Source organism: Homo sapiens, chromosome 12, assembly GCF_000001405.40.
Source record: "Homo sapiens chromosome 12, GRCh38.p14 Primary Assembly".
NCBI lineage: Eukaryota > Metazoa > Chordata > Mammalia > Primates > Hominidae > Homo > Homo sapiens.
This window is the reverse complement of record NC_000012.12, coordinates 130,751,994-130,778,999: the sequence shown is the minus strand read 5'-3', so window position 1 is coordinate 130,778,999 and position 27,006 is coordinate 130,751,994. Positions and strand designations below refer to the sequence as shown.

The window sequence follows — 27,006 nt, the reverse complement described above, 5'->3', positions numbered from 1 at the left end:
TTCCAGCCTGGACAGCACAGTGAGACCCTGTCCCCCTCTTCCGCAAAAAAACAAAAAGGAAGAGCGATTATGAGGTTCCTGAGGCCATCTAGACAGGAGGTGGCGGGGACTTAGAGTGGCAGCTGAAGTTGGGGCAAAAGAGGTTGGACACTTTATCAATATACTTTGAGGTTTGAGTCAAAAGCCCTTTGGCTGGGCTGTTAGAGGGTATGGGGTATCTTTATGGGGTAATGAAAAGATTCTAAAATTAATGGTGACAGTTGCACAATTCTGTGAATATCCTAAGAACAATTGAATCGTATGGTATATGAGTTATGTCTCAACAATGTTAACAGAAATGAGGATTTGCAGATGGATTTGGTGTTGGGGTCTGAGAAGGAGAGGAGGCAAGGAAGACCAGCCTGGGCAGCTGGAAGGATGGTCTTCAAGGAGGAAAGCAGACAGAGGAGGGGCAAGTGTTAGGGGAGGGCTAAGAGTTTCAGGAGTTCAGTTGTGTTTTTTGTTTTGTTTTTTGAGATGAGGTCTTGCTCTATTGCCCAGGCTGGAGTGCAGTGACATGATCACAGCTCACTGCAGCCTCGAACTCATGGGCTCAAGCAATCCTCCTGCCTCAGCCTCCCAAGTAGCTGGGACTACAAGTGCACACCACCACACCTGGCTAATTTTTAAATTTTTTTGTAGAGATGGGGTCTTGCTGTGTTGCCCACGCTGGTCTCTAACTCCTGAGCTCAAACAGTGCTCCTGCCTCAGCCTCCCAAAGTGCTGGGATTACAGGTATGAGCCACTGGGCCTAGCCCAGGAGTTCAGTTAGGTCTCGGCTGTGATCAGATATGCAAGGGGATATGGGGGAAGCATTTGGACACTCAACACTGGCTCTGGGGAGAGGGCCGCAGGATGAATGACAGGAGCACCTGGCTGGTGAGTGACAGGGGGAAGACAAGGGGCAGGAGTGAGCCCTGGACCCCTGATGCTCCCAAGTTAGGAGGGGAGGAGCGGCCAGCCAGGGAGGGGACGTCCCAGAAGCCAGGAGGTTCTGTGTTTCATTTCCTCACCGGAAGCAGAGAGCATGGGCACAGAGAGACCTTTCTTTACTGGGCAGAAGCAGCAGTGCCAGCCCAGGGTACATGACAAGTGCCTCAGCATGTGGGATCAGGGAGTGGGGATGCTGGCAATTGTGGATTGGAGGCTCTGGGTGGCAGGAGGCTGCCTTGGGGCTATAGCTGTTGCCATGTACAAATAAGAGCCAAGGGCTGCTGGGCATCAAACGTTCAAGAGAAACTGGAAATTATGAGATTTTGATTGGCTTTTCAAAATGTCCATTTCATTTTAAAAACAAAAACCTACATGTGCCTAACCACACAAGTCTGTGTCCCCACCTGGCCTGTGGCCCGTCACTGTGTTCTGCTTTCTAACACAGGGAGTTACTGCCAGGGGCATGGAGTCTCTGTCAGGCCTTTTCCTAAGCAGGTGTACCCTGGGAGAGGCATGGGCTGTTCAGGGTGTCGGTGCACCTGCACTGGTGTTGACCCTTAGTGTGATGCCAGGCAGGGGCCCTCAGCCCCCCAGGATCCAGCTGGGTCTGAAGTTGAGGGAGGAGGTGGAATCCTGCATGAAGAAAGCTCTGCTGGCTGAGAGCCTGGCTCCCACGCTGACTGTGTGACTGTGGGCAACTTATTTAATGATCCTAAGCCTGAGTTTCCTCCTCCGTAAAATGGGTTCATAACAGTGCTCACATTTTTGGGCCACAGCGAGTATTTAATAAGACTGTACATAAAAGCCGGGAGTGGAGGCATGTGCCTGGAGTCCTGGCTGCTGGGGAGGCTGAGGTGGATCACTTGAGCCTTGGAGTTCGAGGCTGCAGTGCGCTATGATCATACGTGTGAATAGCCATTGCCCTCCAGCCTGGGCAGGATAGTGAGACCCCATATCTAAAAGGAAAAAAAATATTCTACACGTACAGAGCTTAGGGTGTTACTTGACACATAGACACTCAGTAAATGTGATGAAATGCATTTTGCGTGAATATTTCGGCTCTGGCTATTTACATTAGTCCAGAAGGTGAACCCTGTGCTACTTAAGTTTTTATAGCAGCACTGCGAGCGTAAGCAAAACCAGCCACAGTGCAGCAGAACAGTAACAGGAGAGCCGGCTGGGGCCAGAAACCAGCAGCTGGACAGCGCTCTCATGGAGGCAAAGCCTGTTCTGACCCCAGCTCCAGCCTTTTCTAGCCCTGCGGCCGCATCGTCCCCTGCACTGCTACTTCCTGTTTGAACAATAGGACCTCAGTGCAGCTTGATTCAGCGAGCGTTAAATGAAATAACGGGAGAATGGACTTTGGCTCTGACCCCGGCCATAATGTTTGCTGTTATTACAAAGTGAGGGCCAAGATTACAGCAGATCCGCACACACGGAGGTTAGAGGTGTTTTGGGGTATTGTCAGAGAGAGACTAACAGAACTGTCTTTGGACCCATGGATGGTTTTGTAAGGAAGTAGTGCCTAACGCAAGTTGTAGTAAAGACCCATGGGTAAATGAAAACGCCTGTCCTGGGACCCGGGAGACCGGGAGGGAGCTCCAAGGCTCTTGGCCCAAGGGCGACTTGCTGGGAGGTGCCTCCTTCCAGCTGGGAAGCCAGTGCCCAGAGCAGATGCCTCTGCTCCGCCACAGCGCTTTGAAATGGTGACTCAGGCTTCATGCACGCCCACTGCTGCCCGTCAGAACTCTCGGCTTCAGCAGTTAGCTTGGAAGGCAGTCGTGAGCGGGGTATTTTGGGCAGCATCTCAGCAGAGGGGCCCCAGCTGTGCGGGTGTTCTCCGCCTCTGCAGGCGCTGCCTGCCCTGCAGAACTCCCTCCTCGCGGCCCGGGGAGGCCGCAGGGTGCAGTTGGGATGACCTCCCTGGCTTGGTTGGCTCCAGCCTGAGCCTTTGGGGCCGGGCTCCTCAGGGCAGCAGGCGCGACCCGTGAAGACGTCAGCGATTCCAGCGCTCTCCATCATCGCTCGTGCCTCCTGTACTGGAGGTTTTCACACTGCGCGCTTCCTCCACCCTCTAAGGAGAATGAGGTCCTTCCCCCGGGCTCCCTTTTTTCATGCAGAATGGAGTCAGGGGAATGGGCCGAGTGGAGAAAATAAGCAGAGAGCCGTGAGAAGGGGGAGAGGGCTCTGGCCGGCCCAGCTGGCTCCAGCACATTCCTTGGTGGGGAAATTAGAGTGAAATGAGTGGAGAAAAAACTAAAACATGCCAGAGAAGCTCAGGTGGGCTGTGAAATAAAAAAGCTGAACAAGAGGAGGAAACCCAGGAGGGACTGAAACTCACAGAAACTGGGTGCCAGGAAGAGTATGTTTTGGGGGATAGGTGGGCCGGGTAGGGAGTTAGTGAGAGAAAAGCAGCAGAACAGATTGCAAAGTGCGGAAGAACCGAGGGTGAAAGGGAAGGAGATGTTAGATGTTACTGCTGCAACTTCCCTGTAAATCTAAAATTATTCCAAAATAAAAAGTAGAAGACCAGGCACAGTGGCTCATACCTGTAATCCCAGCACTTTGGGAGGCCGATGCGGGTGGATCACTTGAGGTCAGGAGTTTGAGACCAGCCTGGCCAACATGGTGAAACCCCATCTGTACTAAAAATATAAAAATTAGCCAGGCGTGTTGGCAGGTACCTGTAATCCCAGCTACTCAGGAGGCTGAGGCAGGAGAATCGCTTCAACCAGGGAGGCGGAGGCTGCAGTGAGCTGAGACTGTACCACTGCACACTAGCCCAGGTGACAGAGTGAGACTCCATCTCAAAACTAAATAAATAAATTAATTAATTAATGTAGATTTTTAAAAAGAAAGTATTGCTATGGACTATGAATTAGATGCCCTAAAAGCTTTTCCAAGAAGCACAACTAAAGACAGGAATTGCTTTTTATCACCTTTGGTTCGTGAATCCTAGTATTTCTTTCTATGTGGGCCGCGTACAGCCTGGTTCACATGGGGCCTGGCGTTTGTGTGGGTTACAGGAGATCTTTTTATTCTCTGAAATCACACAGTGATTAACGTGTTCCCTTTTAATAGGATGTGCCATGTTCACCTTGATATTTGGGTTTTTGAAGAAAACCTGTAAAAGCTGTAAAACCCGAACCATGAGGACACCCCAGGGGCACACAGGTCAGTCTGTTGGACACTGCGTATTTCTCATTCGTTTCTTCGCCTCCTTTGGTGATATCCGGCCTTACTGCTAGGGAGGACATTTGGGAAAATCCCTTAAAGGAAGTCTGGGTCCCTTGGCAGAGTCATGTAATCTCCCATCTCCTGGCTGCAGATGGGATTGATAGTCTTTGACCATTGATCTTAAGCAGGATGCATGGAGATCTCTGTGAGCTTCCAAGAGACAGACTGCAAGTCTGCAATGCGGAAGGGATGTGCTGCGTCCTCCGGCCCCTTCCCTGGCTAAAATGGCTCCTTCATTTAATATCCTGCTTGCTTTTTTTTTTTTTTTTTTTTGAGACAGGATCTCTCTCTCACCCAGGCTGCAGTGCACTAGTGCGATCACGGCTCACTGCAGCCTCAACCTCCCAGACTCAAATGATCCTCTTGCCTCAGACCCCTGAGTAGCTGGGACCACAGGCGTGCACTACCATGCCTGGCTAATTTTTGTATTTGTAATTTTTTGTAGAGATGGCCATCTTACTATGTTGCCCAGGCTGGTCTCGAACCCCTGGGCTTGAGTGATCCACCTGCCTTGGCTTCCCAAAGCGCTGGGATCACAGGCGTGAGCCACTGAACCCGGCCTGCTTGCTCTTTTGATATATTCCTGATTCATTAAGGTTAATGCATCTGTTAAAAAAAATAAAAGAGAAGAGAGACTTAAGAGAAATACCAAAGGTTGTCTAAACCGTGTTGAGATTCCGATTTGAACAAAACCAACTGAATTTTTTTTTTTTTTGAGATAAGCAGATACATTTATTATGGACTGGGTATTAGAAGATAGTAAGGGATTGGTGTTAGTTTTGTTGGATGTGATAATATCACGGTGTTATGTTAATTAAAAAGTCTGTCAGTTTACAAAGCATCCGGAATACCCTCCTCTTCACAGCCTCTTTAAAGACCTAAAAACCTAAGAATGAGCTCCCAGGCAGCACGCAGCGGTGCGCGTCGTGGGGCCTAAGAGGGACAGAACACTCTTAGGTCTGTCACTACCACTGGCCTTCTTATTTCTCTCTCACTGTGCTTTAAAAAAATATCCTAGGACGGTCTTCCTGAGCTCAGAGTGGGGGATCCCTGATGTTGGCACGTCACAGGGTGATGTTGATGACACAGAGCCTGGTGAATGGATGCGGCTGTCTTGAATCAGTGCGGTGAATGCAGGCGTAGCTCAGGGGACGCAGTCGGTGCACATGAATTCAGAACGGTAGCCCTGCCAGCCCCACTGCCTTCCCGGCCTCTGAGAGGGGCCGATTCAGGGTTCTCGGTGAAGTGTTGGCTTCCCAAGGCTGCGTTAGCAGGGAGCTAGACTTAGTTTCCTCTGAGCAAGAAACATAATCATCAGTGGATGAGGGCCCTCTCCAGGCTGCAGAATCCTTTCTTTGGGGAGGTTGCTGGGCTTGTTGATGGTGAAGACTCAGCAGCCATGTAAGAAGGACTTAATGAATCCCTGGGGAACCGGGTTGTCCTCGGAGCTACAGATAAGTTATCCGAAAATCCAGCCCCCTTTCTTTGCTGTAATATATATGTGCTTGTGTGTGTGTATTTTTTCCTTTTTACAGTAGGGACTGGTGGCCAGGTGCAGGGCTTGTGCCTGCAGTCCCAGTACTTTGGGAGGCCAAGGCAGGAGAATCACTTGAGGCTAGGAGTTCAAGACCAGCCTAGGCAACATAGTGAGACCTCATCTCTACAAAAAATAAAAAAATTAGCTGAGCATGGTAGCTAATTCAGAGGCTGAAGTGGGAGGATCATTTGAGTCCAGGAGATGGAGGCTGCAGTGAGCTGAGATCATGCTACTGTACTCCAGCCTGGGTAACATAGCCAGACCCTGTCTCAAAAAAAAAAAAAAAAAAAATTAAGACAATAGGAACTTGTTAAAAATATCACAATTGTTGAATTTCCACATGAGTCCCCCCAACACTTTTACCTTGTCCTCTGTCTTTCTGCATACACCTGCCTGCCTCTCCATGACTGGAGGTGGCTGGAATAGTCACCTTATCTTTCCCCAGATCTTTCCCAGATGGCTTGAAATCCCCCAGTGCGGGGTGGCCTCACTGGGAGTCTCCTCTGGAAGGCTGTGTGTCCTTGCTCTCACGCTGGGTCCTGAACCTCCTGTGTCTTGGAGGCCCATGTTCTGGAAGTGATCAGTGATGTGGTTTGGATATCTCCCCCTCACTGTCTTGTGGTAATGAGTGAGTTCTCGCTCTATGGGTCCCTGCAAGGTCTGATTGTTAAAAAGCCCGGCAATGGGCGTGGTGATGGGTGCCTATATTCCCACCTACTCGGGAGGCTGAGGCAGGAGAATAGCGTGAACCCAGGGGGCGGAGCTTGCAGTGAGCTGAGATCGCACCACTGCACTCCAGCCTGGGCAACAGAGCGAGACTCCGTCTCAAAAAAAAAAAAAAAAAAAAAGCCCGGCAATGTCCTACCCTTCCCCACTCCCCCGTCCCACTCCATGTGCTACACCTGCTCCCCTTCCCCTTTCTCCATGAGTGGAAGGAGCCCAAGGCCTCACCAGTTGTTGGCACATGCTTCTTGTTCAGCCTGCAGAATCATGAGCCAAATAAACCTCTTTTCTCTATATATTGCCCAGCCTCAGGTATTCCTTTAGAGCAATGCAAAGTGGACTTAGATAGTCAATGAAACAAAGGGGATGTGAGGCTGGTGGCCCAAGTCAGCTGAGGATGCTGGGCTGAGAGCATACCTTCTCTTGCCTGCTGGTTTCCATGGCACGAACCCCTTTCTTTCCTCACTGCAGCCACTGTATGTAATCAAGTCCCATTTTCTCAGCACCTAGAGCTGTACTGGGCATGAAATAGATGTTACTTGAAGGAAAGAGCCCAGGTAGCACAGTCAGCAGCAGAGGCAGCATGTGTCGCCCTGTCTGACATCGCGAGCCTTTTCAGAGACCCAGGGGCTGCTACCAGCTAAGGCAGTGTGCAGCCATTCAGCAAATATTCATCAGCACCTGCTCTGCGCGAGGCCTGGCTCTAGGTGCCCTGAGCAAGCCAAACAGGGAACTTGCTCACCGGAACTTAGGTTCTAGTGCAGAAGATCGACAGTAAACCAGCCAGCCGAAACCCCATACAGCTCTGAAATGAGAGCAAGAGAAAGACTGTGAAGAATTGGGCGCACGGTATTGGGATAGAGTGGCCAGGAGGTGGTGGAGGTAGGGGTGTTCACCACAGTGGCCAGGGAGAGGCCAACTGAAGGGAGGACGGCATGTGAAGAAGGTGGAGGAGTGGGGAGAAGACCCCTGGCTGTGGGAGCTGTGAGGGCAGAGGCCGTGGAGCAGGAGCAACTTGGCAGTTTAAGGGACAGAGTGAGGGGTCGAGTGCAGAGTGTGTCGAGCTGGGGAGATTGGTGGGACCGAGGTAGAGAGGAGGGCAGCGGCCAGAATGTGTCGGGTGTGTAGGTCATGGCGGGGAGTATTTGGAGAGGAGTGTGGGACCCTGGTTAAGTTTAAGAGACAGGTGTTCTGGTTCAGGGAGGCAAGGAGAGGGCAGAGAAGGAAGGCTGTATTTGGGTATTATCTGGGAATTAGGGAAGCAGTAAGGAGGAGTGTGGGTTGCCAGGGTAGAGGCGAGAGATTAGGAATACATTTTACATCCAGAAAGGTGAGAGGGGACTGGAACCTCTAGAGAGGTAGGTTTGGGTAGCCATTAAGGGGAGGCGGATGGCCAAGAGAAACACAAACGAATCAGGAACTTGGCTTGTAGTCTCAGGTTTAGCATCCACTGCTGTGCAGACTCAGAGAAGGCACTGACCCCTTCTGGGCCTTAGTACCAACTATAAATGAGATAGTTGAATGAGGTTGGTAGGAGACCCTAACCAGCATAGGAGGTGATTTTCGGTACAATTGGATGCTAAAATGTAATTTTCAAAAGGTGGAAAACAACTGTTCTATAAATATAAAATAAGCACATGTAAAGGATTGTATTTAACTCATCAGTGAACGAGGGAACTTGTAAGATGTTGTATTTAACTCATCAGTAAACGAGGGTACCTGTAAGATGTTGTCTTAGTCCACTTTGTGCTGTTAGACCAGAACACCTGAGGCTGAGCAATTTATCAAGAATAGAAACTTCTTTCTCACAGTTCTGGAGGCTGAAAATCAAGATCAGGATGCTGGCGTCTGACAAGGGCTTTCTTGCTGCATCCTCACGTGGCGGAAAGTGGAAGGGCAAGAGAGAGCGAACCCATCCTGAAAACCCCAGATTACAGAGGCACTAATCCATTTATGTGGGTGGAGCTCCCATGACCCAAACACCTCCAAAGGCCCCACCTCCTGACAATGTTGCACTGGGGATTACATTTCCAACACATGAATCTGGGGAGACAGATTCAGACCACAGCAGATGTCAAGGCTGGTTCAAAGGACAATGTGAAGAACAAAGGCATGCTGAAATGAATTTGATAATAGATGCAAACTTGGGTAACATCCTACAGGACAATAAGGTGTAAGTAATACTTGGGATCATCTTTCCTTAGACATGAGCATCAGTTGCATCTACAGTGAACAACACTGATTACATTGCCATAGAGGAAGCTTTGTGTTGCTCTCAGATAAGAAGCATGCACACTGCTGTATTCTCTACATGAACTTCTATTCTACAGTTGTAAAATAGTTCAGTCAATAGAAAGCCAACCACAGAGACACACCTAGTGGTTTGTTTTTGCCTATTTTTAAGTTTTTAATATTTTTTATAACAGATATAACATTGAATCCATAGTGAAGTTAATCACTTTTTAATTACCCATTTTTCTAATAATTAAATCAACAAGGGAGTCTCCTTTGGGTACCAATCAATCTCTAACCTTTCTAAACTTCTTGTTTGAAAAAGAGAAAGGCAGAAGTGGGCCTCAAGCATGACGCCTTCAACTGACTGTACAAGCTAGCTGCAGTTTGATGATACTGTTGAATTTTCTTTATTATATTGTTACCTTTTATTAATGGCAATGGATATATTAGTTTTCCATTTTTGGTTGAGATATGAGGCTTCCTTTAAAACATATTTAAGTAAAAAAGAAAAGTGAGTCAATGTGTTTAATTAAACAGCCAAAAGTATTCAAATGATGAATGATATAGATGGGATGAATAGAAAGTCATAGAAAATTTATGGTGATCACTGAAGGTTGAGAAAAACCCAATCTGATGAGCACTCTGCTCCATGTCAGGTCCTGCCTGTTGTGCTTGTCTCCCAGACTGTCTTTTAACTCTCACCTTCTTACAAATAGTTGAATCTTAATAGCTATTATTACCTTACATTTAACAAAATAGGCATATGCATATTTTTTCATTTTCTCCCTCTCCACTAAGGAAAACTTCAGAGAGAGAAAGAATTTCTCCAGGGTCAAGCATCCAGCTGAGCATTCCAGTAGAGAATGGCAGTGCTGGAATCCCCCGCTGTTGTCCGGCTTCAAGACTCTTTTGCACTGTCTCCCAGCCCTGCTCCCATGGGAGTTGTGGAGAATTCCCAGGGTGAAGAAAGAACCTGGGGATAGAGCCTCCTTTTTTCATTTTTTCTTTCTTTTTTTTTTTTTTTTTGCGATGGTCTTGCTCTGTCACCCAGGCTTGGAGTGCAGTGGTGTGATCTTGGCTCACTGCAGCCTCAATCTCCCAGGTTCAAGTGATCCTTCCTCCTCAGTCTCCAGAGTAGCTGGGACTACAGGTATGCACCACCATGCCTGGCTAATTTTTGTGTTTTTAGTAGAGATGGGCTTTCATCATGTTGGCCAGACTGGTCTCAAACTCCTGACCTCAGGTGATCCACCTGCCTCAGCCTCCCGAAGTGCTGGGATTATAGGCATGAGCCACTGTGCCCGGCCTCATTTTTCTTTTCCTTTTTACAGAAATGGAAATCACATGGTAGGTCATAAGGAGCTGACAGGGCTGGAGTTCCAGTGAGTATCTGCCCCGGCAGTGCGGCAGCAGACGGGAAGGGTGGGAGGTCATCTGAGCTGGTAGGGTGAGAACAAATATAAATCTCAGGGGGGATCCACAAGGGAGCCCATGTCTTTGGTGCCACACAAATGCAGTAAGAGCTGTGGACACCAGGGAATACCAGGGAGTGTTTAAAAGCCCCACAGGCAGAACACACGCAGAGAAAGCAGGAGACTAGGCACTGTGGGTTCTTGGGAAAGAGCTGATTTTAGTTGCAAAAGCAGAGGAAACCCCAGACATTGCATGGCTTTAGGCTTTAGGCTTTAGCCCCACCACCCTCACAAGTCTTCTGTCTCCAGGGGGCCATCAGTGCCTCAGTTCCACTCGGTGCAGACCCCAGGGTTCTTCCCACCCCTGCAAGCCACCCATCAGGGTGAACTGAGAGATCAGCAGAGTCACTTACAACGAAGGGGAATTGTTCTGGGCATTGGTTAGTAAACAGGAGAGCAAAAGGGGAGAAGAAAATTGTGTACAGGCGTTGAGCATCTCTAGCCGAAGAAGGTGAGGCATAGAGGTGTCTTACCACCAGGAACAGATCTGAGTCATGCAGCACCAAAATACGTATTTGAGTCATGGCATCAAAACGTTCCTGGTGGTGAATTCATGTCCGTGCGGGTCTGCAGCAATCTCAATTCTTGCCTCCTCAGAAGAAAGAATTCGACTGAGGGGCATGAGGCAGAAAGAGAGATCGGAGCCAGTTTCAGAACAGGAGTGAAAGTTTATTAAAAGGCTTTAGAACATGAATGAAAGGAAGGAAAGGATACTTGGAGAAGGACCAAGCAGGCATCTTGAAAGGCAAGTGCTTTTTTTTTTTTTTTTCATTTTTTAACCCCTTCCTAATGTCACTGGAATAAGAGGCCTGTCCCAGACCCCAAGAGCGGGTTCTTGGATGTTGGATGAGGAACAATTCCAGGTGAGTGGCAGAGTATAGTAAAGTTAAAATCGTTTATCAGAGACCACTCGGTTACAGAGTAGGATGTCCTCCAAAAGCAAGAGAAGGAACGCGCACACCTTAAATACGATTCTTATTTATATAGGTTAACAGAGCTAAGAAGAGAGGTCTTTTGTGCTTTATTACAGAGGCTGGTGATCAGCTTCTGACAGGCTATTAGTATTATTTTCCTATGTTACTACTGATTTCAGCAAGGATTTACGAATGTACTATTAACCTTAAATCAAAACCTACTCTTAAACTAAGAATGCTTTTTGTTCTTAAAATATTAAGAGATTGCCATAAAATTCTGCGTCTTTATTTAGTTAGCATCATTAACTTGTTCCCTCAACCATAAACATCTTGTGCCCAAGAGTGCCTACCCCCTGGGGGTGTAACCCTGCAGGCATGGCTATATCCCACATTTATTAAAGACAGACTCACTCTGATTAGGACGCCTCTGACACTAGTGTTTGATCCTAAGAGCAGGATGCCCCAAGCTGACCATGGAGTGGTGATGCTGCTGGTGTTGCCCGCAGACAGGCCTGGGTGCCCCTCCTGTATCTGGCCTTGCCTACTGGGCCAGGTGGATTCATACCCAGGCGGGATCCAGGCTGAGGCTGGAGTTGAAAGGGAGCCATCTGTTTGTGGACCACCGAGCACCAGCAGTCCATCCTCCTATTTTTGTGTTCTTTTGGTAGTGGGGAGGAGTGGATGGAGAGTTGCAGTGTCCTGCTGGGAGGGAGGTGCAGGGGTCATGGGAGGTTGGGCCCACCCTGCACATCATTCTTGGGCTGTCCTGAGCACTCACCCTTTCTGTCTGCCATGTGAGGGAGACATCCCTGTAGCACTCCTCCTCCCGACCCTGCCCCACATCCGAGAGCCCTTTGCCCCTAGGGATTGAAGGGCCAGAGGGCCCAAGCCACCTCCTAGGATTTTTTTCCCTTGCCTTCCCTCCCTCCCATCCTCTCCAATTTCCTCTTCTCCCCCCTATTCTTTCACTCCCTTCCTCCTTCCCTCTCTTCCTCCCTTTGTTCTTTCCACTCTCTTTCCTCTCTCTCTTTCCAAGCTTCCATCAGCAATGCATGATAATTTCATTTGTTTTACATCTCACTACTGGCATGTGACATTGATAATGGTGGTGATGATAGGGATGGTGGTGATGATTTTGGTGATGGTGATGATGATAGTAATGATGATGGTGATAATGATGGTGATGGTAATGATAGTGATGGTGATGATGGTGATGGTGATGACGATGGTGATGATGGTGTTGGTAATGATGGTGATGATTATATGATAATGGTGATGGTGGTGGTGGTGATGGTGATAATGGTGGTGATGGTGGAGGTGGTGATGACGATGGTGATGATGGTGGTGGTGATGTTAATGTGAAACTGGCTTTGTAAGGCCTGAAGCTTATGCAAATTGGTGACCTCTTTAAGAAATACTACCTGGGCTTGAACCCTTGCTGCCCACTGTGTCCCTGCCTGAATCACTTCCACTTTCTGTGCCTCAGTTTCCTCATCCAAGAGTTAGAGCTAACAGTATTAATAGTTCTCCCTCGCAGAGTGAGGATTAAATGGGGTCATGGTCAGCATTTTCAATAGTGCAAATAGTAAGCACTTGATGGGTGCTTTCTGTTTTCAACCTGACTCTGAGGTCTCCTCTATCATACATACACTTATTATTTTATTCCATGGTGAAGCTCACATAACATAAATTAACAATCTTATTAACTACTCCAAAGTGTACAATTCAGTGGCATTTAGTGCATTCCTAATGGCATGCAGCTACCATTTCTGTCTAGCTTCAAAATACATTCATCACGTCAGAAACAAACCCTGTTGCCATTAGTAGTCACTCTCCATTCCCTCCCCACATGAATCTACTTTCTGTCTCTGTGGATTTGCCTGTTCTGGACATTTCCAGCCATACAGTATGTGGCCTTACATGCCTGGCTTCTTTCCCTTGGTGTGGTGCTCGCAAGCTCCATCAATGTTGGAACACGGGTCGGGGCTTCATCCCTTTTGATGGCTGAGTGACTTCCCAAGGTATGGATATTCTGGCATTGAGATTGTTTTAAGTCCCTGGGGTGGAGGTGTGGGCAGGAGTGAATACACACTTCCAAGAAGCTGCTCTGAAGAAACTCAAGCTGCTGTCCCGCTACCAGCACTCCATGACATCATGAACACGACGACATCATCAACACCATGATATAATCAGCACTGCATCATTAACACCACCACATCATCGGCACCATGACATGTCAACACCATGACATCAACACCACCATGAAATCATCAACACCACATCATTAACACCATGACATCAACACTACATCATCAACACCAAGACCATCATTAACACCGTGGCATCATCAACACTGCATCATTAACACCATGACATCACCAACGTGACATCATCACCATGACATCATCAGCACCATGATATCAACACTGCATTAACATCATGACGTCATCAACACCATGACACCATCAATGCCACGACATCAACACCATGACATCATTAACACCACATCATTAACTCCACGACATCAACACAACATCAGCACAATGACATCACCACGACATCATCAACACCACATCACCATGACATGATCAACGCATGACATCATCAGCACTGCATCATTAACACCATGACATCATCAGCACTATGACATCATCAACACCATGACATCATCAACACCGCATCATTAACACCACATCATTAACACCATGACACTATCAACTCCATGACATCAACACAGTGACATGAACACCACATCAACACCATGACGTTGTCAACACCATGACATCATCAACACCACATCAGTAACACCATGACACTATCAACACCATGACATTAACACAGTGACATCATCAACACATGACACTTTCAACACCATGACATCATCAACACCACAACAACACATCATCAATACCACATCATTAACACCACGACACCATGAGCACATCATGAACACCATGACAGTATCAACACAATAACATCATCAACTCCATGACATCATGAACTCCACAACATAAACACCATGACATCAACACCACATCAACGCCACGACATCAGCACCACGACATCATCAAATCCATGACATCATCAACCCCATGACATCATCCACACTGCATCACCAACACCATGACATCAGCACCATGACATCATCAACACTGTGACATCATCAACACCACATCAATAACATCACGACATCAGCACCATGACGTCATCAACACAATGACATCACCATGACACCATCAACATCACATGATTAACACCGCATCATTAACACCATGACATCAGCACGACATCATTAACACCACGACATCAACACCACACCAACACCATGACTTCATCAACTCCGCATCATTAATACCAGGAAATCATCCACACCACGACCTCAGCAACCCCATGACACCATCATCAGCACTATGACATCGTCAAAACCACGATATTATCAACACCATGATATCAACACATCAACATCAACACCACATCAGCACCATGACATCATGAACACAACATCATCAACCCCATGACATCATCAACACTACATCATTAACACCATGAGACCAGCACCGTGACATCATCAACACCATGACAACATCAAAACCATGACATCAACATGGCATCATTAATACCATGACATCATCAACACAAGGACATCATCAACACTGCATCATTAACACCATGAGATCAGCACCGTGACATCAACACCATGACAACATCAAAACCATGACGTCAACACGGCATCATTAATACCAAGACATCATCAACACAAGGACATCATCAACACTGCATCATCAACACATCATCAAGACCATGACATCATGAACACCATGACATCATCAACTTCAACACCACGACATCATCAACATAGAAGACTCCTGTGAGCAAACGCAGAGTTGGGGCTTCTCCCCACCACTGAGTGAGCAACACTGCTGTAGCGGACACCAACAGGGGCATCCTCCGATTCTATTCTGACCCCTCTACCTGGAGACGGTGTCTGATCACACAGGGAGAGGGCTCAGTCCTAAGACCTCCCCCCCTACTCCAGACATGAGCTGCACGTCTGGGCCTTCTGACCAACTTCTTGATGTTGGGGTTCCCACAACCCCCTCTTTGGGTTTGATTAATTTGCTAGAGTGGCTCACGGGAGTCAGGGAAACACGTTTCCTGGTTTATTATAAGTGATATTGCAAAGAATATACATGAAGAGATGCACAGACGAGGTACGGGGAAGGGGCGTGGAGCTGCCATGCCCTCCCTGGGCAGCCCCTCCAGGAGCCTCTGCGTGGTCAGCTCTCTGAAAGGTCCCTGAACCCTGTCCTCTTGGGCCTTTGATGGAGACATCGTTGGACAGGAATGATTGACAACCATGTAGAAATGCAACTGGATACACAGGGCGTGGTGTAAACTCAGCAGGGCTTGTCTGTCCAGATTCTTCTTTTTTTTTTTTTTGAGACGGAGCCTCACTTTGTCACCCAGGCTGGAGTGTAGTGGTGTGATCTCGGCTCACTGCAACCTCTGCCTTCCAGGTTCAAGCAATTCTCCTGGCTCAGCACCCCCAGTAGCTGGTTTTACAGGCACGTGCCACCATGCCCGACTAATTTTTGTATTTTTAGTACAGATGGGGTTTTGCCGTGTTGGCCAGGCTGGCCTCGAACTCCTGACTTCAGGTGATCTGCCCGCCTTGGGCTCCCAGTCTTGGGATTACAGGCATGAGCCACCACGCCTGGCCCAGACTCTTCTCAGCTTCTCGGCAGCATTTCTTCCTCTAGGGGATGAGGCAGAACCCACCCTGGAATGAGGATCTTCTGACCCACAGTCAGATTAGGGTCTTGAGATTCAGCTTCCTGAGGCCTAAACTGCCCCAACGTGATAACAAAAGGCTATAACCAGGGCTGTGTGAGTTAGGAGGCAGGAGCTGTGGATGAAGACACACACATTTATTTCACGGTGAAGCTCACATAACATAAGTTAACAATCTTATCAACTACTCCAGAGTGGACGATTCAGTGGCATTTAGTGCACTGTGGACGGATGATTCAGTGGCATTTAGTGCACTGTGGATGGAAATGCAGGGGAGTTGATTGCCCTGCCACTTGCTCCGAGCCTCTGAGAGGTGACTGCCACACCCTTTGGCATTGAACTCTACATCCTTTGGATCCGTCAGCACCTTTCCAGCAATTCCTTGGGTCAAGCATGTGGGATTCACTTGCTCTTAAAATGAATGGTTAACTGTGCCTGGGCTGGTACAACTTGGTGCTGTGTGACCCCAGCCGTCCTCAGCCCTCCTTCTCACACCTCCACCTTGGCCAGTACCCACCTGGATTTCTCTCTGGTCCTCCAAGCTGCTGAACTTGTCCCCTCCGCAGGGCCTCCAGCCTGGCATGCTCTTCCCTGGGAGCGCCGCGTGCTACTTCTTACAATTTTGGGTCTTGCTCAGATGATAACTCCTTGGGGCAGCCTTCCCCGACCACCCTCCCCAGGCACTCCCTGCCACAAATGTCCCCACTGCACTTACGCTGCGGGGAGTTCTCTATCCGCTTCCTTGTTCACCCTCACTGGTCTCCCCAGGAAAGCTCCAGGAGGGAGGCGCTGGTTCTGTGTATTCACCTGTGCTGGGGCTGGCACTCCAGGCAGAGCTGTGGCGGAAGGAAGTGGCCCGAGACAGCCTGATTCCATCTTTTGGTTTCTGTGTGTTTCCTCCTCATAGACCCGCACCAGCGAACAGGGAACCTGCAACCAGGGGGTGGACACTGAAATAAAAACAAAGTGAGACAGAAACTTCTGCTCCTGCACCGCGGCTGCCCCTGAGTGCTCAGTGGCGGGGCTGTGGCCGCCTGTGGTCGCGGTGCGGAACTTGCCTTGCAGGATGCTGTGCGGGGTAGCCTGGACCCCACCATGGAGGGTTAGCCTCCTGTCCCCGGCCCTCCAATGCCTGCACAGGGCGGGTTCTGCATGGCTGTCCAGGGGATGATGCAGGCGTCCAGATGCGGGAAACGGTGACTGGATGGAGCGACTGCTCTCCAGCCTTGTCCTAGCAGACAGCACCATCTGCTGGGCCCTGGGTTTGTGTCTGCAACTGGATGGGCTCTAGCGGGGTTCTGCCCAATCTAGCAATTCGAGGTGGCACATCTACACCAATATCCACCTGCTGTTTACCAGACGCCATGCCAGGCAGGTGGTCAGCAGTGTGCATGCGACCACTTGCTCACGGCCTGCACTGAGCTGTGTGTGGAGAGGGACCTGTGGGACCTGGGTGCTGCTTGTGGTGCAGGCCCAACCAGGCTCAGGGAGGGGCGTCTGCTGCTCTGAGGCCTCGGGGGGTGCCCACCCGCCCAATGGTCACCCACCACGTGCGGGGCAAATGCCCACCGCAGTGCTCACCTCCAGACAAACATCGCTGCCTTCCTGCAGCTCCGTTCCAGGCAGGGAGGCACAGATGAGACGTGGTGGGCAGATGAGGTTGTTTCAGGTTGTGTTAGACAGTGTGGAGGAAATCAACAGAATGCTGTGGACAGTGCCCCGGCGGTGATGGGCAGATTAGGGACTGCACGCAGGAGTCAGTCACGGGAGGGGAATGGCACCACTGTCCCAAAAACAGCAAAAACGAGTCCAAGCATGGCACTGATGGGACATCAGAGGAGACAAAAGGTGGTGGCTGTTGGTGGTGCAGTGAGGGGAGGAGGCTGGGAGGGAGGTGGAAGCTTGGGCAGGGCCCGTTGGGCTTCGCATTCTATTCTAAGCACCATGGGAAGCTGTCACCGGGCTTTAGGCAGCGCGACGACAGGATCCGATCGAGGCTTTCCGTGTTGCTAGCAAAGGAATTCAACATTCCTGACATGGGTGAATGGAGAGAAAAGTGATGGGGCTCTTTCCAGAGGTCAAGGTTAAGGGGACTCTCATGGATGGGATGCATCCTGGGACCAGCAAAGTGGGAAGTGGTCGCCTCGCCCAAGCCTGTGGGGACCAGAGAGGGAATGGTCCCCGGAGGCCCACAGAGTAGGGCCGAGGACAGGGGAGGACACAGGAACACGAGGGGCTGCCGAGGGAGCAGGAGGTGCAGCCGCCCTCAGATCTGGCCTGCAGGGGTGGAGCAGGAAATGACAAACACCCACCTCTTCTCCTGGGGATGGTGGAGCCTGAGGCACCACGTCCACGAGGTCCTCTTGGGGTGGAGGCAGACCTGGAGGGGCAGACACACTCTCAGCTTCCAGAAAACCTTGACTCCAAGAAGTCACACTGAGAGATACCCCTGTCGCTGGAGAGATCTCCTTTTCTGATATAACCACTTTATTCCCATATCTTTGGGGTGTCTGGGGAGGTGACTCAGTCCCTCCAAAGGGAATGAGCGTGAACTGGGAGGGTGTGTTGGACCCAGGAGACTTTCACGGCGATAACCACATCTCCCCTTGCCCTTTCAGCCTCCTTCAGTGGGACCCACTTCCCTTCCCTGCACCGAAAGGGGGTGGCTCGTGAGTATTTTTAGATGAGGAACCTCTGCCCATGCAGTCCCAGGCAATGAGCTGCGCTCTCAGTGTAGCTTTCCACTTCACTCCCCTCTAAGCTGCACCCTGCTGTGGGCTGAGGCTTTAGCAGGGGCCGGACCAGGGTCCTCTGTCAGCGCCCTGCTCAGCCCTTCATAGGCTGGTTGTGGTTTTGCTCCCCACAGCAGGCAATGCTGGCACCAGGGAAGAGGGGTAAAGAGACAGGGCTGGGCTCGCTTGGCAGGGCTGTGGTGCTTGTGTGGGCTGTGGTGGTTGGCAGGGCTGTGGTGGTTGTGTGGGCTGTGGTGGTTGTGTGGGCTGTGGTGGTTGGCTTTAGGTGTCAGCTTGGCTAGGCCATGGCACCCAATTATGTAAACACACATGAATCTCAGTGCTCCCGGGAAGGTATTCTGTGGACATGGTGGATGTGCCCCGTCACCTGACTTTTAGTAAGGGCAAATGCCCTCCACAGCGTGAGTGGGCCTCACCCAGTCAGCTGAAGGAAGGAGACATTCTGCCCCAAGACTTTAGCCTCAGCCTCAGCCTGGGTTTCCAGCCCGTTGGCCTGTCCTGCAGATTTCAGACTTGACAGCTTCTAATCACATGAGCCAATCGCAAAAAGAAATCTCCTATCTGGATCCACATCTACATTTATATACCCATATCCATACATATATCCATGAATACCTCCATATCCATACCTCCATCCATGTCCACGCCTCCATCCACATCCATGCCTACATGTACATACATGTCTACGTCTGTATCCATGCCTACATCCACATCTGTGCCTACGTCCACATCCATATCTACACCCACATCCATATCTATACTCACGTCCATGACTACACCCCCATCCATATCTACACCCACGTCCATATCTACACCCTCATCCATATCTACACCCACGTCCATGACTACACCCACATCCATATCTACACCCACATCCATATCTACACCCTAATTCATATCTACACACACATCCATATCTACACCCACATCCATGCCTATGTCCACATCCACATCTATACCCACATCCATATCTACACCCTCATCCATATCTACACCCACATCCACGCCTACACCCACATCCATATCTACACCCACATCCACGCCTACACCCACATCCATATCTACACCCACATCCATATCTACACCTACATCCATGCCTACGTCCACATCCATATCTACACCCACATCCATATCTACCCCACATCCACATCTACACCCTCATCCACATCTACACCCACATCCACATCTACACCCACATCCATAGCTACACCCACATCCATATCTACCCCATATCCACATCTACACCCTCATCCACATCTACACCCACATCCACATCTACACCCACATCCACATCTACACCCACATCCATGCCTACACCCACATCCACATCTACACCCACATCCATATCTATACTCATGTCCATGACTACACCCCCATCCATATCTACACCCACGTCCATATCTACACCCTCATCCATATCTACACCCACATCCATGACTACACCCACATCCATATCTACACCCACATCCATATCTACACCCTAATTCATATCTACACACACATCCATATCTACACCCACATCCATATCTACACCCACATCCATATCTACCCCATATCCACATCTACACCCTCATCCACATCTACACCCACATCCACATCTACACCCACATCCACATCTACACCCACATCCATGCCTACACCCACATCCACATCTACACCCACATCCATATCTACACCCACATCCACGCCTACACCCACATCCACGCCTACACCCACATCCACGCCTACACCCACATCCACATCCATATCTACACCCCCATCCACATCTACACCCACATCCATATCTACACCTACATCCATATCTACACCCACATCCATATCTCACTCTCATCCATACCTCCGTCCACATCCGTGCCTACATCTGTATCCATATCTACAGCCACATCCATATCTACACCCTCATCATGTCTACACCCACATCCATTTCCAAGTCCATGTCTATATCTATACCCATAGCCACCTCTGTACCTATACCCATATCCATTTCCATATCTGTATCTATATTCATAGCCATATCTGTGTCTATACCTATATGTACCTCCATACCTATATTCATATCTACATCCAAATTTATTTCCATAGCCACATCTGTATCTATATCTGTATTCATATCCATATCTGTATCTATACCAATATCTATGTCCACATCCATATCTATGCCTAAATCTGTACCCATATCTGTATCCATATCCATCTAGATCCATATTCCTATCTGTATCTATACCCATATTCATGTCCATATCCATACCTCTCTCTATATCAATATCCATATCCATATTCATCCATTCCCGTGCTTATGTCCACTTCCATATCCACGCATGTCCTGTTACTCTGCTTCCCTGGGGACCCCTGGCTGAAACAGGAGGCTTCTATTGAACTCACTGGATGTGGCAAATTAAGAAAGGTTTCTCTTGTTCTGGGGTCTTAGGTGACCCCTGCTGGTCCCCTCTGTTGGTGATTTCCTTGACCCTGGGGTGCTGCCCTCTCTGCAGCGTCAGCCTCTACTGGTTCTTGAAGAGAAGCAGCAGGCCAGCCCCATCCCTCTGGATTTATATGTGGGGGCAGATCTCTCGGTCATGGGTCTCTCAGGTGCTAGCACCACAGCATGGAGTTATCTGAGTTGTCATCTCAGAGCAGGAACTCATCACCAAGGAGAGAGTGCCAAGCCATGCATGAGGAATCCACTGCCATGATCCAACACCTCCCATCAGGCCCCACCTCCAACACTGGGGACCACATTTCAACATGAGATTTGGAGGGGACACACATCCAAACCACATCACCACACAGTTGTGGTGATAAGATATAAAATCTATCATGGCAAAGGCAAAAAATAAAAAGAAATGAAGTTGAGTTTAACAATCAGTGGTAAGTGGCAGTTATAACCACTGTGTCTTCTGTCTCATAGTGGAACACCGAGGCATGGGGCAGCTTCCCATCACCTTACCTTTGATGATGGTACCTCTTAGCTTTCTTCTTGGGGCCTCCGTCTCTCCATTTGTAAGCAGAATATTGGATTTGCTAGTTCCTGCGGTCCTCCCAGAGTGACATGCTAGGCTGCTGACTGGAATTGCGGAGGGGCCAGAGCAGACCGCCCCTAGAAGGGTCCGCCCAAGTAGGAAATGACAGCCTCCCTGCCTTGTCATCTCCTCCTCCAGAGTGGACGTATGGAGACTTCACTGCACATGTGGGGATTGTGCTTGTTGACCTCGTAGTTCCCTCTGAAGAGGGCATTTGGGTCTCAATAGAGGCCCAGTTGCTGCCCAGGGAAATAAGAAATTCTATAACATCCACAGCTTATGTGGCCTTAAAAACTCAAAGAAGAGCTGGGTGCGGTGGCTCACTCCTGTAATCCCAGCACTTTGGGAGGCCAAGATGGGCGGATCACAAGGTCAAGAGATTGAGACCAGCCTGACCAACATGGTGAAACCCCATCTCTACTAAAAGTACAAAAATTAGCTGAGCGTGGTGGTGGATGCCTGTAGTCCCAGCTACTCAGGAGGCTGAGGCAGGAGAATTGCTTGAACCCGGAAGGCAGAGGTTGCAGTGAGCTGAGATCGCGTGACTGCACTCCAGCCTGGCAACAGAGCAAGACTCCATCTCAAAAACAAAAACAAAAACAAAAACAAAAACAACCAAAAAAAAACACACAAAGAAACAAAACCAAAAACAAAGACAAAAGAAACCCCCAAAAAACTCAAGTCCATATGTTTAAATATTTGACAACCATTGCCCTTTTGGGGGATTCGAAGGGAGCAGGAGGTCTTCAGGGCTGCTGAGGCGGAATTGGCACCATTCACTCAAAGCTTATTGCTTTCTGAGCTCTTGTCTGTTAAATGTCCCTGGACAGTCCTAGCCAATGAAACTCACCTTAGTTTGCTTCAATTTTCCTGTCTCTGTTCATTCATGACCAAATGAACTATTTTGGGGAGAGAGAAATTGCCATTCCTGGTGAATAACAAGTTAGTAGATCATTGGAGGCCAATTCAAGGCCTGTTAGGAGCAAATCCAGCCTTTGCAAGGATTATTTCAAAACCTGGCATTTCCGTCGAAAAATCAAACTGGGCTTGCTGTTGACCTGACCATGTGTGTTGAGACCACAGTCCTCCATCTTACTTGGGTCATGTTGACTCATACATCGGTAGTTTGGAACCCACTTTGTCCATGGAAATGGTGGTGTTGGTGGAAAATAAAGCATGGACAATTAAAAACAAAACTTCTGAAGTTACTGTCTGATTTTTTTTTTTTTTTTTTTTTTTGAGATGGAGTCTTGCTCTGTCGCCCAGGCTGGAGTGCCGTGGCGCGATCTCGGCTCACTGCCAGCTCCACCTCCCGGGTTCACGCCATTTTACCGCCTCAGCCTCCGGAGTAGCTGGGACTACAGGCGCCCACCACCATATCCGGCTAATTTTTAAAACATTTTTTTTTTGTATTTTTAGTAGAGACAGGGTTTCACCATGTTAGCCATGATGGTCTCCATCTCCCAACCTCGTGATCCGCCTGTCTTGGCCTCCCAAAGTGCTGGGATTACAGGCGTGAGACACTGTGCCTGGCCTGCTGTCTGATTTTTAATTTACCTTTGAGCCAACTTTTAAAATCAGTCTCCCTAATAAATGAGGGGGGTTGAGGGGTGAAAAGGAGGAAGACATCCCAGCAGCAGGCTAGGTGCCAGAAGGAAGCTGTCCTGGGGTTAAATGCTGGCCAAGGCTATTACTGAAATGGGTAACTCACATTCAGATGATGGAATCTGGCTGCATTTAGTGAGCTCTTGCATGTGTATATTTTTATGCCATATACTGCACTTCCTTAAACTCAAGGTATTTGATGCACTTCACGTAGTGGTTCTCAGCAGGGAGGCTGCAGCTAGACTGCTGTCATTTAAATACAGTGTCTGCCACTCACTAGCTGTGTGGCCTAGCACTGGGCTTGGGGTGAGGGGAGTGAGGTGCCAGGGGCAGTGCACGTGCAGGCAGACCCCTGAGCAGGGTGCCTTCTTAAATTCCCGGCCCCAGGCGCTTCACTTGCCTCGTCACAGTCCCAGCCCTGGAGTGACCCGGAGCCTTGTTTAGCTCTATACCTCAGTCTCTTCATCTGTGAAAGGGGGGTGACTGTGACACCCACCCCATAGTGTTCCAATGTTGGGGATAGCTGAATTAAAAGGCTGGAGGTATTTAGGATGGCTCCTGGCACACGGCAGGCGCTGGGCGAGCATCAGCTGTCACTCAACACACACAGAGGCTGCTTTCTCAAGGGCAGGAAGCAGGGGACCTTGAAGCTTTTCCTTCTGGTGGTTCTGGAGTTTCCATGCATGTGCTACTTGGAAGCCACTGACTTTCAACATCAAGCTCCTGCTGCACCCATTTTCTGGGGCTGGCCTGGTGCTTGGGAGCCTCATTCTTGCCTTGCCAGGGTCTGCCTGCTGGACTGGCCACTGGTAGGCTAGAGGAGGCTGCAAGGATGAGTGGAAGGGAGGACCTGTTGCCCTGCTTCCCTCTGGTTCCTGCTTTACTTCCTGTTCCTGCCTCATTTCCTGCTCCTGCTTTCCTTTCTGTTCCTGCCTCACTTCCTGCTTCTGCTTTACTTCCTATTCCTGCCTCTTTCTGGCTCCTGCTTTACTTCCTTTTCCCCCTTTAGTTTCTGCTCCTGCTTTACTTCCTGTTCCTGTTGTGCTTGCTGCTCTGCTTTCCTTTCCTGCTTTACTTCCTGCTCCTTTGCTTCCTGCTCCTGCCTCACTTCCTGTTCATTCACTTCCTGCTTCTGGTTTACTTCCTGTTCCTGCCTCACTTCCTGCTCATTTGGTTCCTGCTTCTGCTGCTTGTTCCTGCCTCACTTCCTGCTCCTGCTTTACTTCCTGCTCCTTTGCTTCCTGTTCCTGCTTCACTTCTGATTCCTACTTTGCTTCCTGCTTCTGCTTGGCTTCCAGTCTCGCCCTTCAGCTCCCACTCCTCATCCTGCTCCTGCCACTGCTGCCCCACAGCATGACTTCCTGTTGGTGGCAGGTGGGCTTGACCTTAGGACTTTAGCACCCAGAATGGGGAAATAGGCAGGAGAAAGGGGTCTCCTAGAAAGGCGGAAGGCGGGGACTCTGTGGCTGTGGGAATGTGGGGATGCCAGGAGCCTCCTACCCTGCTGGTGGGAGTGAAAAATGGTGCAGCCACTTTGGAAAACTATTTGGCAGCTTCTTAAAGAGTTCAACAGAGTCTTACCATGTGACCCAGCAGTTCTCCTCCTAAGTATTAAACTAGGAGAATGAAAAACCTACCTTCACACAAAGGCTTTCTACAGATGTTCCTCATAGCATTATTCCTAATTACTATAGAAACTTCAAACGGCCTGGATGGCCATCCGCAGGTGCCCACCTGAGCAAGTGTGGCCCATGCGCCCTGGGACTCACTGCCCCGCTGTCAGAGAGTATGCGCTGCAGCTTCACGCCACAGCAGGCATGGCCTCCGAAATAGTGCCTGACATGGAAGAAGCCAGATGACACTGCAAGACTTCATGGATAGGAAATTTCTGGGAGAGGCAAAACGGTAGAGACAAAAAGTAGATCCGTGGTTCCCTGAGGATGCGGGTGGGGATTGACTGCCAGGGGTACAGTGAAGCTTTCTGGACTGATGTGGCTGCCTTAGAACTGGATTTTGGTGATGGTTGCTTAATTATACGTTTACTAAAAGCCATCCAATGCCATCTTTACCATGGGTCAACTGTATATTCATTATAATCCTATAAAGCTGCTTTTAATAAAATCATTGTCCAAATATTTAAGGTGGTGGATATCCCAGTTACACTGATTTGATCTTTATAAATGATATGAATAAAATGATCACATGAACCCCCCACATATGTACACCTGCTATGTATCAGTTAAAAAAAAAAAACAGTGCCTGGCCAACATGGTGAAACCCCGTCTCTACTAAAAATACAAAAAATTAGCCGGGTGTGGTGGCACACGCCTGTAATCCCAGCTATTTGGGAGGCTGAGGCAGGAGAATTGCTTGAACCCAGGAGCTGTAGGTTGCAGTGAGCCGAGAATGCACCACTGCACTCCAGCCTAGGGGTCAGAGCAAGACTACCTCTCAAAGAAAAAAACAAAAAAACAAATAAAAAGCAGTGATTGTCCCCTTCTCCGTGCAGGACTTGGGACCGGGACCTGCCCTCTCACGGGCGTTTGGGGTGTTCTGTGTTCGCTCCTGCAGGCCTGCGGAGCATGGGGTGAGCAGCAGAGAGCGCTCTGCCACAGCTCCCAGGAGAAGCTCGCGCCCAGCTGTGGATGCGGCTGCTTTGTCTCTGTGGCAACTGTTTTCTTAAAAACCTTGGGTCAATAGAATCTGTGTCAATCAAATCCCATTTTCTCCTTGACCTACGTGACCCCTTAAGAGCTGTGTACGGTGCTGCTGAAGAGCGGCCTCGGGGACTTAAGGCCTGGAAATCCAGCGTGTAGGAGTGATCCGCACACAATGGCACCTGTAGGGCGTTGCTCTGGGGCATCCCTGCAGAGAGTGCTTTTGTGAGATGGAGACCATTCAGGCCCCGTGGAGGATCCCAGACAGCAGGGGGCTCTGGTGGTCCACGGGTGGGATGAGCCCGCCGGCCTGTGCTTTCCTGCACAAGGGCCTCCTGAGGGGAGGACTCCAGGGAGTTTCCCACAATGCCCAGCAGCTCTGAGTAATCCTCCTGGGATGGGAGAGAGGGAGCACACGGAAGAGAATTCCTAGGTGACCGTGGCAGGGACAAACGGCTCAGCAGGTGGCTTGTCCGGAAGTGCTGTGGGAGTCTGAGCTCTGGTGGAATCCCAAGATTAAAAAACAATAATAAGAAGAAAACAGGCTGGGCACGGTGGCTCAGGCCTGTAATCTCATCACTTTGGGAGGCCGAGGCGGACAGATCACCTGAGGTCAGAAGTTCAAGACCAGCCTGGCTAACGTGGGGAAACCCCGTCTCTACTAAAAATACAAAAATTAGCTGGGTGTGATGGCACACACCTGTAATCCCAGCTACTCAGGAGGCTGAGGTAGGAGAATCGCTTGAACCCGGGAGATGGAGGTTGCAGTGAGCCGAGATCGCGTCACTGCACTCCAGCCTGGGAGACAGAGCGAGTCTCCGTCTCAAAATAAAATAAATAAATAAATAAATAAATAAATAAATAAAAGCAAACCCACTGTGCTAAAGGAATGTAACAATGCCCTGACAGTCATCTCGCTAAGCCTCTCTTGATAAGATGAGGCTGGCCAGGTAGTGAAAGGGTTTAGACCTGGTTGGAAAGCGACTGTGTCTACATGAAATGGGGGTTATTTTATCCTCAGGCTGCTGCGGCATCCACATGCCTGCTCTGAGGTGGCGGGACACGGTTCGTGACCAGCTGAACTGAGGGT

The 27,006-nt window shown here is 49.4% G+C and overlaps 1 long non-coding RNA gene across 8 annotated transcripts, besides 4 other annotated features; it reads right to left on the bottom strand.

The window, feature by feature from the left end:
- Positions 2,082–2,376: a silencer, noted in NCBI's record as "tiled region #14372; HepG2 Repressive DNase unmatched - State 1:Tss, and K562 Repressive DNase unmatched - State 20:ReprD". NCBI's record gives its function as "represses a minimal TATA promoter and a strong SV40 promoter by Sharpr-MPRA in HepG2 and K562 cells {active_cell/tissue: HepG2 | K562}" and the evidence as "EXISTENCE:reporter gene assay evidence [ECO:0000049][PMID:27701403]".
- Positions 2,943–3,092: an enhancer, noted in NCBI's record as "active region_7345". NCBI's record gives its function as "activates an Ori minimal core promoter by ATAC-STARR-seq in GM12878 lymphoblastoid cells {active_cell/tissue: GM12878}" and the evidence as "EXISTENCE:reporter gene assay evidence [ECO:0000049][PMID:35858748]".
- LOC105370080 (uncharacterized) lies at positions 15,877–22,033 on the bottom strand. Of its 8 annotated transcripts, none has more exons than XR_001749400.2 (6): positions 20,883–22,033; positions 18,194–18,261; positions 17,463–17,702; positions 16,597–16,811; positions 16,399–16,494; positions 15,877–15,996 (listed from the first exon to the last, which is right to left on the bottom strand). It is a non-coding gene; the product is annotated as an uncharacterized LOC105370080 (long non-coding RNA). The 8 variants fall into 8 exon arrangements; XR_001749402.2 differs by having other exon boundaries at positions 16,399–16,491; XR_001749398.2 differs by having other exon boundaries at positions 16,399–16,811; positions 20,883–20,987; positions 21,582–22,033.
- Positions 16,295–17,100: an enhancer, noted in NCBI's record as "H3K4me1 hESC enhancer chr12:131246445-131247250 (GRCh37/hg19 assembly coordinates)". NCBI's record gives its function as "activates a minimal SCP1, AML or CMV promoter by ChIP-STARR-seq in naive H9 embryonic stem cells {active_cell/tissue: H9 hESC(naive)}" and the evidence as "EXISTENCE:reporter gene assay evidence [ECO:0000049][PMID:30033119]".
- Positions 16,901–17,050: an enhancer, noted in NCBI's record as "active region_7344". NCBI's record gives its function as "activates an Ori minimal core promoter by ATAC-STARR-seq in GM12878 lymphoblastoid cells {active_cell/tissue: GM12878}" and the evidence as "EXISTENCE:reporter gene assay evidence [ECO:0000049][PMID:35858748]".
- Positions 22,034–27,006: the final 4,973 nt, after the last annotated feature.